This window comes from Homo sapiens, chromosome 1 (genome assembly GCF_000001405.40).
Source record: "Homo sapiens chromosome 1, GRCh38.p14 Primary Assembly".
Classification (NCBI taxonomy): domain Eukaryota; kingdom Metazoa; phylum Chordata; class Mammalia; order Primates; family Hominidae; genus Homo; species Homo sapiens.
This window is the reverse complement of record NC_000001.11, coordinates 226,876,023-226,890,478: the sequence shown is the minus strand read 5'-3', so window position 1 is coordinate 226,890,478 and position 14,456 is coordinate 226,876,023. Positions and strand designations below refer to the sequence as shown.

The 14,456-nt window shown below is 51.1% G+C and overlaps 1 protein-coding gene across 11 annotated transcripts in view, besides 2 other annotated features; it reads right to left on the bottom strand.

Annotated features, from left to right (window-relative positions):
* PSEN2 (presenilin 2) overlaps window positions 1-14,456 on the bottom strand; it is a 33,053-nt gene that overhangs the window by 13,190 nt on the left and 5,407 nt on the right. For 8 of the 11 annotated variants that reach the window (XR_007061979.1, XR_007061980.1, XR_949150.4 and 5 more), the window contains 6 exons: window positions 8,431-8,591; window positions 6,560-6,774; window positions 4,800-4,941; window positions 2,321-2,388; window positions 1,430-1,650; window positions 346-444 (listed from right to left, as the gene is read on the bottom strand). Coding sequence is in view for 8 of the 11 variants with exons in the window: in XM_017001835.2 (XP_016857324.1) it covers window positions 346-444; window positions 1,430-1,650; window positions 2,321-2,388; window positions 4,800-4,941; window positions 6,560-6,774; window positions 8,431-8,571 (886 nt within the window). In the remaining 3 variants the exon portion in view is untranslated. Of the gene's footprint in view, window positions 1-345; window positions 445-1,429; window positions 1,651-2,320; window positions 2,389-4,799; window positions 4,942-6,559; window positions 6,775-8,430; window positions 10,011-14,456 lie in introns of all 11 variants that reach the window. The other 3 variants (XM_047425601.1, XM_047425596.1, XM_047425597.1) reach the window with 1 other exon arrangement.
* Window positions 7,446-7,605: an enhancer, noted in NCBI's record as "active region_2673". NCBI's record gives its function as "activates an Ori minimal core promoter by ATAC-STARR-seq in GM12878 lymphoblastoid cells {active_cell/tissue: GM12878}" and the evidence as "EXISTENCE:reporter gene assay evidence [ECO:0000049][PMID:35858748]".
* Window positions 8,125-8,325: a silencer, noted in NCBI's record as "peak736 fragment used in MPRA reporter construct". NCBI's record gives its function as "represses an SCP1 promoter by STARR-seq MPRAs in K562 erythroleukemia cells {active_cell/tissue: K562}" and the evidence as "EXISTENCE:reporter gene assay evidence [ECO:0000049][PMID:32103011]".

The window sequence follows — 14,456 nt, the reverse complement described above, 5'->3', positions numbered from 1 at the left end:
GCCCTGAAGAATCCCTCTCCAAAGTCCCTTCTCAAGAGCCTGGAGAGCTGAGGGGTGGCTGCGGGATCACAGGAATGCAACCTGCACCGCAGCATGCCGCTGGAGGATGGACGGGATGAAGTCAGGGACTGCAGCACATCCCAGCAGATGCCTGCTTCCTGTCCTAACTTTCTAAGCTTCTTACTGTGTAATAACAAGATACTGCCCTCCCTGGCTTCTGAAAGTGGAGACCCTCCTGGGATCGCCCAGTCAACTCTGAAAGCCACGGCCAGGAAGCAGGCCCCTGTCCCCCCACAGGCTGCCTGCTGACCCCGAGTCAGGCAGAGGCACGGGGGGCTCACTCACATGAGTATATCAGGGCAGGGAATATGGGCTCATTTCTCTCCTGGGCAGTTTCTACCAGCATTCTCAGAGGCCCTTTGGGACACAGCACAGCCACGAGATCTAGGAAGACAGAGACATCCTTGTCAAACTATCCCCGGGCAGCCCCCTGAAGAAGAGCCTGCCCTGTAGCACAGGAGCCCCGGGTGGAGCTCTCAGAGCATGCCTTGCCTCTGGGCTGGCATCCCAAATTCTCATTCTCCAGTCACAACTTAGAGCAGGCCCTGGTGTGAGCCAGAGTAGGGCCTCGCAGGCAACTGCAAGCATGGAGGAGCTGTGCACCCGAGACGCGGTGGCCAGGCTGGGGAGTCCCACTTCTCTGAGCCTCCAATTCTTTAACCTTAAAATGGAAGTAACAATACTGGCAATGATAATCATGCTAATATCAAATAGCAGCTAACATTTGGGGTTATGTATATGCATGGTACCCAAAGGACTGTCTTGATGAACAAATCACTTACAGCGTGTCCAGTGCTTAACAGTGCACTTGCTCAATCAGCATAGCAGTAATAATGGAAAATGAGGCTGGGTGTAGTGGCTCATGCCTGTAATCCCAGTACTTTGGGAGGCTGAGGCGGGCCGATCACAAGGTCAGGAGTTCGAGATCAGCCTGGCCAACATGGTGAAACCCCATCTCTACTAAAAATACAAAAATTAGCCCAGCGTGGTGGCACATGCCTATAATCCTATCTACTCAGGAGGCTGAGGCAGGAGAATCACTTGAACCCGGGAGGCGGAGGTTGCAGTCAGCCAAGATGGCGCCACTACACTCCAGCCTGGGCGACAGAGCAAGACTCCATCTCAAAAAAAAAAAAAGTAAATGAGGAGCTCAGTGACTACTGCGTTTTATCTAGACCACCAGGAGTGTTCCAGAAATAGTGGACCCCCCTCTGTTTTACAAAGGCGACTCTCTCAGGAGGGATCCCACCCAGGCCTCTGCAGAAAGGGATGCAAGCCCTTCAGCACCTGCCCTCCTTGTGCAGCACTGGGGACGATTTGGCCCTGGACATCGCCCCCACTGCCCCCACCAGCCTTGCTGCCCACCTACCATACACAGAGATGGCGCCCAGGATGACCCACGCGGACCACTCTGGGAGGTACTTGATGAACACTAGGGCCATGAGCGCACTGATCATGATGAGGTAGGCCTGCTGCAGCACCAGAGGGCCCTTCCAGTGGATGCACACCATGCCCACTGCCCCGAAGTTCCAGACAGTCAGCAAGAGGGTGGGGTAGTCCATGGCCACATTGTAGGTCTTGAGCACTTCCCTGCAGGACCAAGGTGGAGCCTGTGACTGGGACTCAGTGGAGGCATTACAGCCTAGCAGTTTACCACCATTCAGTCCCAACCTGGCCCTCTTTACTAACATTTCCTTCCCCGACCTTCACTGTCCTTACAATTTACCATTTGCAGCATTTTCTAAAACAAGGTGGGGATGCTTGGAACAGATCACAGAAATGTGCATGGGCATGACCTGGAAGACCCTGTGCACATGGAAAGGTCCTTGGGAAAGTGTTTTCTCTTGTCCTCCCAGTCTCTTTGGGCCCCTGGGTCAGGCTGATATCCCAAATCAAGGGGCGATAGAACAGATAATTTTTCCCACAAACCAGAAAGTACCCAGGCCTAGCCTAAAAATCAGAATGTAAATTTTGGGGGGTTTCTATCCCCCTGGGGTTCACAGAGAGCCTTCTCCATGAAGGGTTCATTTTAAATCAGGAACGAGACAGAAACATGTGGTCCACCATGCAGCCCCACTTCCACTCCCCTGTGTCAAGGCCATGAGAGAGGGCGACGGAGGCCTGGGTTCCCAAAACGGCTGGCACTGGGGAAGACTGGAGCTCGATGGTCATCTTTCCCCGCCCAGGTCCTCATGCCCATGTCCACTTGTGCCACATGGAGAGGGGCTCCCAGGGACCCTGCTGCTTATCTGTCACTTACCCAAGGTAGATATAGGTGAAGAGGAACAGCAGCATCAGTGAAGACATGATCAACCAGCCATGGATGAACTAGACAACAGAAATTGCACGATCACAAGGTGTCCCCAAGCGCCACAAATTCTAAGGCCCCCAGGATCCTGAGACTGATACCCAAGCCTGAATGCTCTTCATTAGGCTACTTCATGCCTACGCTGGAAGGGATCAGGTGGCCACCTTACAGATAAAGAGGGCACAGAAGTCCAAGGAGTTCCCCTCAGGTCATCCTGCAGCGCATGCAGACAGGACTCCCTCAGGTCTGCCGGCATAGCCTTGCGGTCTCCCCCCATCTCTACTGGTTCACTTAGAAAGGTAATGCTGGGTGTCTCCTACTTGCCAGGCACTGTTCTAGGCTCTGGAACCAAGGCTAGCAAAGTCTCTGCCCACGGGCATTGTGTTCCAGTGTGAGGGGTGTTAGATGACATATAGACAAACATACAGTATATCAGCAGGTAATGATGAGGGCCATGGAGAAAATAATGTTAGGATACAGTGATAGGAGACTCACTGGGGTGCTATTTTAGATAGAGTGGCCTCAACAGAGAACCTGGGAAGTCCCCTCCTACCCAAAGGTCTACAAGCAGGTCCTCAGAAAGACCTGTTCCTCTTCTCCTGGCCAAGGATGGGAGAGTGAAGGACAAGAGGGGGCTGATCCTAACCCAGTCCCTTAGCTGGCCATCGGCGGGACAGTGACATCACTTCCCACCAGCCTCACCCCTGAGGACCAACTCATCAGTCACCAGCTCAGCCCACTGGGACCTCAGCGTGGCCCTGGTCTACCTGGACTAAAAGCAGCCTCCACGGCCCTGCTGCACACACAGCCAAAAGGGGAAGGGGCTGCCTCTGGGACCTGCCAACCCTCTTCATCCCAGCCACCACCTGGCTGCCCGGGCCACCACCATCTGCCTGTATCGTGGAACCTCCAAGGAAGCCCTACTAGACAGATGGCTGAGCCCCTCTTCACAGCCTCTGGGACTGGCCACCAGACACCTACTGCCCGCAGTGGGGCCAGCTCTTCACATCTGCCACGCAATTTCTAGCTTGACCCCATGCAATCTGTATCCTCTGCTCCAAACCAGCAGCCCTCCACCCTGCTTCCCACCATCTGCCAACCTCCCAGCGGCAATGTTCAAACCCTGCCTCGTCACAGTTACACAGGTAATTGTTACTTATTTTATTATTATTTTTTTAGAGACAGGGTCTTACATTGCCCAGGCTAGACTTGAACTCCTGGGGTCAGGCGATCCTCCTGCCTCAGTCTCCCAAGTAGTTGGGACCACAGGCGTGCACCACAATGCCCAGCTGGTACTCATTACTTGTTGATAAGCTTCAGCTCAGGACACATCCTGCAGCCCCTCCCATGGCTTTCCCCTCTGCTGCCCCCGCTGGAAGGGGGCTCAGCTCCCTCCCTGCACTGTCCCTGTCCCATCCCTCTAGCCTGGGCACTCTGCACTTCTATCTACCTGCTCCATGGATGGCAGCGGCCTGAACAAAAAATGCTGTGAGGCACCTGTGTGTAAACAGTTTTAAAATAGGTAATGCCCAGCTTAATTTCCTTTCCATCGTTAGGGGTTCAACCCCTTACCTGGGAGAAAAGCCTGAAGCCGCTGTCTAAAAGCTTATGGCATCTTTGGGGACAGGCAGTGCCCATGATTCTGGCCAGATGGGATCTGCCCTTCCACTACTCCCTGGGGCTACTCGGCAGCTATAGGCAGCTACAACCCAAAAGTCTCCCAGGGCTGCAAGACCTCAGCATGGCCTCTGCACATCCTTGCCCGAAAAGGAAAAGGAAAACTAAAAATAAATCTTCAGGGGAAGTATCGGGGTGAGGGGAGCCTAAAATAGAACTTCAGAAAGAGAAGCAAAACAAAATTAACTTTGAAATATGAGAAATGATGCTTGGAACACTGCAATGAGGAACTCAAGTGGGATAATGTGTAAATTTAAAAGACAACAGGCTGGATGCAATGGCTCACACATGTAATCCCAGAACTTTGGGAGGCCAAGGTGGGAGATCACTTGAGTCCAGGAGTTTGAGACCAGCCTGGGCAACACTGTGAGATCTAGCCTGCACAAAAAAAAATTTTTTAATTAGCCAGGTATGGTGGTGCAAACCTGTAGTCCTAGCTACTTGAGGGGCTGGGTGGGAGAACTTGAGCCCAGGAGGTTGAGGCTGCAGTGAGTCATGATCGCACCACTGCACTCCAGCCTGGGCAATGGAGTGAGACCATGTTTCAAGAAAAAGAAAATAAATAAAAATAAAAGACAACAGTATTAGGTCATCCACGGTGGGAGACAGGATGGGGTGGGGAGGAGTACAAAAAATCTGGGTCTATTTTCCTCTAATTTGTGTTTTTCTAAAGGCGGCTGTTTCACGGGCCCTGCCGCCATGGTGTGGGGCAGACGGAGAGAAGCGTGGCTGGAGGGCAGGGCCAGGGCCTCACCTTGTAGCAGCGGTACTTGTAGAGCACCACCAAGAAGATGGTCATAACCACGATGACGCTGATCATGATGAGGGTGTTCAGCACGGAGTTGAGGAGGCGCTGGCCCACCGAGGGTGTGTCCTCAGTGAATGGCGTGTAGATGCTGAGGGAGAAGGCAAAGGGCTGATGCTCCCGGCCCTGACTGCTCCTCGAGGCTCCCCACCTTGAGTGATTCTGGACCTGCTAGGGGAGGTGCCTGGGATGCCCATGCTGCCCACATGCTGCCCTGATGGAGTGCGGGCACCATCCCCATGAGCAGTTCCTGTCCTCCAGCTCATTTCCTGGCACCCTGACCACAGACCTGTGGCTCTCAGCCTGCCAACTGGGCCCAGTGCAGCAGTGAGGACGAGGGCTAGATGACCTCCCTGCTGCTTTCCCCACCCCCACAGGGATTAAAGGCTCCCTAGGCACTTCTCTCACCCATCCAGTTCTCATTCCCCCACCCACCCACACCTCTCCACCAGCTCCACCCAGCCCAGCACTCCTCCACCTGCTACTACCCGACCCCCATCCGCTGAAGCAACTGCTGTCCTTGCAGCTCATAAGCTCAGGAAGCAGACACAGGAAGCAATTCACTCAAACCTCACTCTTCCCAGCCTGGACTGCTGCAAACAAACCGCTGGCTGCATTCTCTCCATGCTTTCACCTGTTCTGCGCTGAATCCCCCACACACTATAAGCTTTCTGAGGATGGGACTCTACTTCTTTTTTAATTTTTTAAAAAAATTTTGAGACAGGGTCTCACTCTGTTGCTGAGGCTGCAGTGCAGTGGCGCAATCATGGCTCACTGCAGCCTCGACTTCTGGGCTCAGGTGTTCTTCCACCTCAGTCTCCCAAGTAGCTGAGACTACAGGCATGTACCACCACACCTGGCTAATTTTTGCATTTTTTGTACAGACAGGGTCTCGCCACATTTCCCAGGCTGGTCTCAAACTCCTGGGCTCAAATAATCCTCTCACCTCAGTCTCCCAAAGTGCTGGGATTACAGGCATGAGACACCACACCTGGCCTTATTCCTTTCTTTAAAAGAAACAACAACAACAAAAAAAACCAACACACACGAAATGAAACAAAAATCCCTAACTTTAAAAAAAAAAAAAAAAGTTTACAGAAGGTGCTTAGCAGTGAGGACCACAGAAAGGGGAGGGGGAAGAAGTGGAGGAAGCTTCTCATTTTTCTACGCTGCTGCCTCTGCATGTATTTTACTAAAATAAACGAAAGGCTTTATAAGTCTTCCTCACAAGGCTGGAAGTGAGCTGAGAAATATCTGGTCCAACCACCTTGTTTCACATTCAGGGAAGCAGAGACTCAGAGAGGAAGTGATTTGTTTGCAGTCACACAGGGATCAGTGGCACAGCCATGCCCAGGATCAAGAGCTTGCTTTCTGCAGCAGGATCCAGCTTGCCTGAGCACTCACGTGCAGTAGACACTCTTCTAAGCCCTTCACTCATATTAACTCACTTAATTCTCCCAGTAACTGCGTTATCAACCCATTATACGAACAAGGAAGCTGAGGCATAGGGATGTTAAAAGCATGCCCAAGTAGGTCACAATCCAGGAGGCAGTGAGCCAGGCCATGAACCTGGGCGGTTCTTCATCCCTGCTCTTTACCGCTGCTGGTGTGGAGCTGCAGGTACAGTGACCAACACAGGCTGCTGCGCCCCCCACCCCCTGGCAACTCAGCCCTCACCCCACCCTGCTCCCCCCAGCCCCCCAACTCACAGCTGTCCATTCTTCTCTGTGTAGAAGCGCACAGACTTGATGGTGGCTACCACCACGATCATGCACAGAGTGACAGGCACAAACAGCATGATCACGTGCTTCGCTCCGTATTTGAGGGTCAGCTCTTCCTCCAGGCCTGGCGGCCGCCCGGGAACCCCACTACAGACATAGCGGTCAGGGTCCTCCTCACCGTCCTCCTCGTTCTCCTGGCTTCTCTGTGGGAAACCACATCGTGAGGGCCGCAGAATGTCCCCCACGGCAGCCTATCCATGTAATGCACGGATTTTTGGAACCAGAAATGAGAAGTTTGAATGTTGCTTTCCAGATATAAGGAGCAGTCTATGAGCTACTAGGGCATATGAAAAGTTTGTGAGGACAAAGTAGAGAAGATTTGGAGCTGGATGAAGCACCATAAATGAAGGAAGGAAGGTTGCTATGGTCTGCAGGCCCAAGACTTAATGGTTAATGAATCAACTTAATGGTTAATGAATCAAAAGATCTTTCCCCTTCCTAATACAGGGACTCAGGAGGTCACTCAATTCTGTTCATGTGGCCATACTGATATGGGAGGAAACAGGCCAGGAGATAAATAAACATTTTTGGCTGACAAATCACTAGCTAGAGGAGTCAGTGCACAGGGACACTCTCTTTGCGTGTGACTAAGATACTGGGAATTTGCAGAGGAAGAAATTACTTTGAACTTTCTGCCCCACAGAATCAAGCATGTAAATTTGTAGCTCTGAACTAGAGAGGCTAAACAGGTGTTAAGCATCTGAGAAGACGCAGGCTCTGGGAAGGTGGGCAGGCACAAATGAGGAGGTAACGAGGGAGGGCAGGACACCTGCCAGACACTAGCACAAACCGATCTGTAAGAATTTGTGTTTTGGAACTGTGGCAAGTCAAGGTCATGGGCTGCCTTGCTAATGAGGTGAACAGCTAAAGAAAAAGCCAAATGAAACAAAAACTGAAAATGACAGTTGCTTCAGTACCGGTTCTCTGCAGAGAGAGTCCCAATCTAGACGTTCAGCCAAGAAAGAAGACTACTCATGAACAGAAACTGAAACAACCAAAGTGTACAAAACTTCCCGGAGATAACAAACAAGAAAAGGCTGAGGAGTGGCAGAGCAGTGGCCTTAAGCTGGTGTGATTTCACTCAGGGCTTAGGGACGATGGTTCCGTTCTCAAGGAGAACATGGAGAAGTGAGCTCAAATTTCAGCAAGCAGGATTAAGACTGGCTGCAAGAAAACAGTCCACACAGAGACATTTTTTAATTCTATAATGGGCAAAACAGAGAACAGGGTTCAGGCAAATTCAGATGTTCTGCCCTGATCGGGAGAGAAAGGACACAACTAAGTGGCTCTCCCAACGATATCCTACTCTTTCTAACGTTACAATCTCCTCCCCTGGGGGCTGAATGATCACAGTGAAGCCCAAATATCCCCAGCTCAAAAGTCAATCGTGTATCAGGCAGACTCCTCTCACACTTACCATGTCTGGCCATCTGCCAAAAAATGCTTCCCCTGCTACCATCCTAAGCTTCTGTGTTACCTGTCCTAGCACCCAGGCATCCAAACAAACTCTCCTATTACAGTGGAAACAGTGACCTGCATGAGAGAGGTAAACCCAAGGTGGCAGAGTGGACAGCGTCCTTCAGCCCACTGCCAAGTCCATCTCTGGCTGTGAATGCGCAGTCCTATGAAACCCTGCAGATGGAAGGTCCATCATGGCCAGCCACCCACCTTTTCGGCCAATCCTCATCATTACTTCCCTTCTCCCTCCCGCATCAGGGAATGAATGTCTGGTTTTCATCTGTAAGGTACAGTAGCCGCAGGGACCTGTTTGAAGGCCCCCAGCTGCTGGTGGGACCTACCCACTGGGCAGTGTTCTCTCCATCCTCTGGGCCCTGCCTGCCCTCCTGGCAGGAGCGCGGCGTGGGGCTCTCAGCCGACATTAGGGACGTCCGCTCATCACACACTTCTTCCTCGCTGTCAGAGGCCATGAATGTGAGCATAGCCCTGCCTCTGGAAGCACCTGGAAAAAGGAGCACAAGGACCTTGTTCCACTTTCCTGTGAGACAAAGGCAGTGGAGGACTCAGGGGGTGGCTGGAGGCGACCTGGAGACTTGGACACAAGTCCTGCCCCAAAAGCTTCCAAGAGATGCCTGTCAATCAAACGACTGCCATAAAACAAGAGGCCTTGAGAGTTACCATGGAGGCAGCAGCGGCCTTGCCTGGGGCTGGCCTGAGGTGACTCACATCCCAGGGGGCAAAACGCATAGCCACGAAAGTCAGGGCAGCTCCAAACTGTCAGTGTGCTCATTCATTCAATCAGCAAACATCTGTGGTGCATCTATTATGCACCAAAGATCATGCTGGGCTCTGGGGATAAAAAGATGAGTAAGAAACACCCTTGTCTTAAAACAAAACAAAAATCATCTAATGTGACAAATGATACAATCCGGGTGTTTGATGGTAGGTGCAGAAGCACAAAAGTGGAACCAAATCTCAGAGATCACGAATGTTTTCTAGAGAAGAGCCTATCTGATGGAGACTGGTTTTCCCAGGAGGAGGGAAGGGCAGAAGGCACAATGTTCCAGTGAGGGCCTCACACTGTGGGGCGGGCAGTGGAGATGATCAGGGTCTCAGGCACCATGTTAAGGAGACACACATCACCCTGAGGACAATCTTGACAGACAAGATCTGAACCAGGTTTATAAAAGTCAGTCTGGCCACTGACCAGAGAGGGAAAGTGACCCCCAGAGACAACTGTGGCAGGTGAGGAGAGCTGAGGACAGCAGCAGGATGGATGCAAGTGAGGGCAGAGTCCAGAAGGGGTCAAGAGGTCAAGGGCAGGACCTGACGCAGGAGAGAAAACACAGTCTAGAATGGCAGCCAGGTGGGGACTAAGACAGGGAAGACCGGAGAAGAGAGTCTCGGGAAAGACCATGAATTTCACCCTTTGAGTGTCTATGGGATAAAATGGGGAAGCTGTCTGGGAGGTGTCTGAGGACCAGGTCTCCTGAGGTTAGAAGTGGAGACCTAAGCCATGAGAGCAGACGTGTGAGGTGGGGAAGTGCCACTGAGGGCGGGACCCAGGGGAAGGCCAAGGCCAAGGGGACAGGAGGGAAGCCTGCCCCCTAAAACAGTGCCAAGTGGGGTTTCACACAGTAGTACCAAGTGGGGGACCCAGTGTACCAAAATCTACACATGCAGGTTTCTGGGCTGGGAAGAACTTCAAACAATGCCTGGCAAATCTGACAGTCCCTGCCAACATCTCAGACGGGGACAGAGGCTGAGTTATCGCTGTCCAGAGGCTGAGTGATCGCTGTCCAGAGGCTGAGTGATCGCTGTCCAGAGGCTGAGTGATCGCTGTCTGTCCAGAGGCTGAGTGATCGCTGTCCAGAGGCTGAGTGATCGCTGTCCAGAGACCCTCAGGGCTGAGCTTCACACCCTGGGCAGGGATAGCAGGTGTGCGCTCTGCTGAAAGTTCGTCTCCAAGTAAGTCACCCCACAATATATGTGATTTTTTTTATTTTTATTTCTAGAGACAGGGTCTCACTGGTCACTTACGTTGGAGTACAGTGGTGCAATCATAGCTCACTGCAGCCTTGAACTCCTGGGTTCAAGCAATTCTCCCACTTCAGCCTCCTCAGTAGCTAGGGCTGCAGATGCACGCCACCATACTAGGCTAATTTTTAAAATATTTTGTAGAAATGAGGGTCTCACGTTGTTGCCCAAGCTAGTCTCAAACTCCTGGCCTCAAGTGATCCTCCTGCCTCAGCCTCCCAAAGCACTGGTATTACAGAGTGTGAACCACTACACTCAGCTATATGTGGTTTTTAAACAAAGCAGGCAGGTTCCTTCCACCAAGTCAGCCAATTTCAATCCCCTTAACAAGACCTGTGGCTGCCCTTCTTTCTGAAGACAGCAACCCCGGCTATGGCCTGGATTATTCCTACAGGGACTTTAACTTCATCCCCAAATAAGAGGCACAGGCAGAGACTGCCTCTGCTCACCTCCATCACAGGGATTTCAACATGAACAAACTCCCCAGCCTGCAGCACCTTCTGTTTAGGATAGATGAGACAAGTACAGGAGTAACAACAGCGGGAAGCAAAGCCAGCTAAAAGCCAGGAGGGTAGTGACAAGGACAATGCACCCGACAGGAGGGGACACAGTCTATCAGTTGTCAGGAGTAGATGCCTCAGGTCACAAGAAGTAAGAGGGATGTGAAGCTGCAAAGGTTAGGAATATTTCACCAGGCAGAGTTTGGAGGAGGGGGCTCATTCTGGAAAGAGGTAACCACTTAAGTAAACATATGAGTTGGGAACATAACATAACCTATCCTGATAATATCGAGCAATTGGATGTGGCTCAAGTGTGGGGACCTGGTAGGATGGGCCATGCCAGGGAGGAGTTTGGTGCCTGATGGAGGAGTAAGAGCTTAATGCAGCAGAGGAGAGCCCCCGAAGCTTTCTGACCAGGAGGAAGATGTGAACTGAAGTGAACTTTACAAAAGCAGCCTTTGCAGAAGAGGTGTGGGCCCTCCTCCCTCTTCACTCAGAGTACCCTCAGACTAGGCCCCAGGGCCACAGGGAAGTTCTGGGAACCAGCAAAATCCATACAAATAGAGCACAGCTTCACATCCCCCAAAGAGCTGCAGGACCTTGGAAAGTTCTTGGCTTTAGTTCCTTCATCATCTATGGAAATGAGAGAAATTATCAGGTGGAAATGCAGGAGAAGGGCCGGGTATGGTGGCTCGGCTCACGCCTGTAATCCCAACAGTTTGGGAGGCTGAGGCAGACAGATCGCTTGAGCCCAGGAGTTCAAGACCAGCCTGGGTAACATGGCAAAACCCCATCTCTACAAAAATAAATAAATAAATAAAAGAAATTGAAGAGAAAAAACTGTAAGGTCCTCCTCTGGCTCAGCCTCACTAGATAAATCCTAAACAGACTCCTGCCTGGACCCAGGGTTTCCCTCACTATCCACTCTGGCAATGGGGAATTCACTCTTACTCAAAGAGGGGCACCACAACAAAGAGTTGCTGCATTTTCTCAAGCTAAATCATAATATTCCATCTGCAGCAGTGTGCTGGATGAGATACGAGGCTGTACAGGTGGCTCTTTTAATACCTCCTTTTCTAGTATGACAGTTTTGTTTTGGGTGTGAATGAACAGGGAAGCTACGATCTCCTCCCTCTGTTCTTCCCATGCCTCTTAAGCTCCTGTGATTTATCTCTGCTATGACTGGAGGAGCAGTTCTGGGAGTCCCTGTACCTAAAAAGCCACAGGCTGCAGCCTCCAATGACAGAGGGCAGGCTCACCCTTCAGACCCACAACAGCTGGAGCATTCAGAGGATGTTGTGTTTCTTAGGCTCCCAAATAGCAATGCACAACAAAAATGGATAAGCAGAGAGCAAAGGTGCCTGTTTAAAGGAGAAAGGGAGCTGATGGGTGGGTGAAGATGGAGAAGCAGGGGACCCAGGATCAAGTAGAATCAGTTCCTTACAATTCCCACGTCTCCATTCAGTTGCCAACCACTAATAAGACGCTCCCTGGGGCTGGGTGCGGTGCTCATGCCTGTCTGAGGTGGGCAGATCACCTGAGGTCAGGAGTTCAAGACCAGCCTAGCCAACATGGGGAAACCCCGTCTCTAATAAAAATACAAAAATTAGCTGGACATGGTGGCAGGCACCTGTAATCCCAGCTACTCAGAAGGCTGTAGCAAGATAATCACTTGAACCCAGGAGGCGGAGGCTGCAGTGAGCTGAGATCGCACCACTGCACTTCAGCCTGGGCGACAGAGTGAGACTCTGTCTCAAAAAAAAAAGAAAGAAAAAGAAAAAGAAAAAAAAGACAATCCCTGGAAAGCAGTTCTGTGAGCAGAGGTTCCCTGACATCTGTGATAGTTGTGCTGGGGAGGGTAGGGTTAAAGGACCATACCCTTTCCATGTGACACTGCGCTAGACAGTGACCTGGTCTAGACAGTGACCTGGTGACCACTGTCGTCATCATCCACACTCGCTGACTGCCTGCCCTGTGCCCAGGCCCGGTCTCATCAAGACCTGACATGTCTTCAGGAAGAAACAAGGAAAAACTACAAAACATGCTTTCTAACCCACAAACGTCATTCATACATGCGGCCTCCTCACCAGAAAACAAGTGTTCCCTTGAGCAGGCTGCTTCCCTCATTCCACTTTCAAAAATTCCTCCAAGGCCTCCCCTGAAGCTGTGCCCACAACAACGAGGACCAAGACTTCAAGAAAGCAGGGAAGGAGAGAGCTGTCATTAAGGAATAATCAGGGAAGAGCTAGTCTCAGCTGTCACAGCAAGGGCACCCTCTAATCACAACCCTCCTAGCCTGGTGGGGTGGGGGTGACAGGTGGGAGGCACCAACTTAGGAAATGCTGAATCCCTTAGGATCACTGTTTCTCAAAGGTGGCCCAGGCCACTGGGGGCTGGTGGAGATGGACCAGCACCTGCTGAGCCCTTAGCCGGCACTAAACATCCTGGAGCAAGGTGCTACTATTCTTCCCCATGGTACTGATGAGGAAACAGAGGCTCAAAAAGTAATTAGCTCAAGGTTACCCTTGGACCTAGGTAGTGTGTCTGGACTCTTCACCACTCTGCTAGGCTGCTTATTAACAATGCAGATCTCCAAGCTCCATCCTCACCCAGTGTCAGGGATCCGCATTCGGGATGGTTGGTCCCCGGGTGATTCTCAGCCAGTGTCAGACTTTTCCTGGCACTGTCTCTGCTTTATAATCACCCGAACAGGCTGGGGCCCTTTCTCAGCAAGGTGAGTGTCCCTCACCCACCCACCTTCACCCTCTCACTGCTTGGCACTACTTGATTGCCACATGAGAGAGTGAGACAATGAACACTTTCTCCTGAATACCTAGAGTCTGGTCAGAGAGCAACTAGGGAGGAGGAGGAGTGGAAAAATCTCAGACCAGCAGAGCGGCATGGGGAGAAGAGAGCTCTTGGGCTGAAAAAGGCCCAAAACAATGCCCACTGCGGAGGAGAGTGTGGAAAAACTGGGTCTCAGTCACTACCTGGACAAACTGCACTGGCCTTAACTGAAAGGAGTAAGAATCAACACTTTAAACACAGCATACCTTTCGATCCTGAAATGCTACTTCATGGAGACTGTGACAGGACCACCAAAAATCTTATTTCAAACATTTAATAACCTGAACAATGACACGCTGTTAAATTTAACCGAACATAAAACTTTACGAACCTGATCATCTGAATGTCCTTATAAAATGTATGTATATAAAAGATCGGAAATATTACAAAACATTAAAGATGATTATCTTTGCATGGTAGAACCAAGAGTGGTTTTTATTTTCTTGATATTTTTCTGCATTTCTCTAAGTCGCCATAATAAACACAGACTGTATCTGTAGGGTTTATTTTAGGCTATTAATTCTTTAAAGGAAAATAACGAGCATCAACATTTAGACAGATTTTCCTCTACATCTGCCCCTCCCAGATCCCCTCTCATTGGCCAGGAGGAGCAGATGGGACTCAAAGGCTGTAACTTTTTTCATTTGTCCCTCAGCCCCTCTGATTTACCTAGCTCCTGAAGGAAAACAGAGCATCTGGGATGGACTTCTGCTACCCTCTGAATTCCTGAGGGCCTGCTTTGCAAGCCACCTAAGTCTGCTCTGAAGCCTGCTGGTGCTCTGAAATCCTTGGAGGGAAAAATCACCACCCAAACGTGTGCAGATAAACAACACTGCTAGGTGTCTGTCCACATTAGAGTGCCGGTGACGCGATGAACTCTCCCCGGAGGCTGACTCACGGGCAGGTGGGGGTGGGGCTGGGTGATGTCAAGTCCCATCAGCCACTCAGCGACCAGCTTTCCCCGTCTCCCACCCCCTGCACCC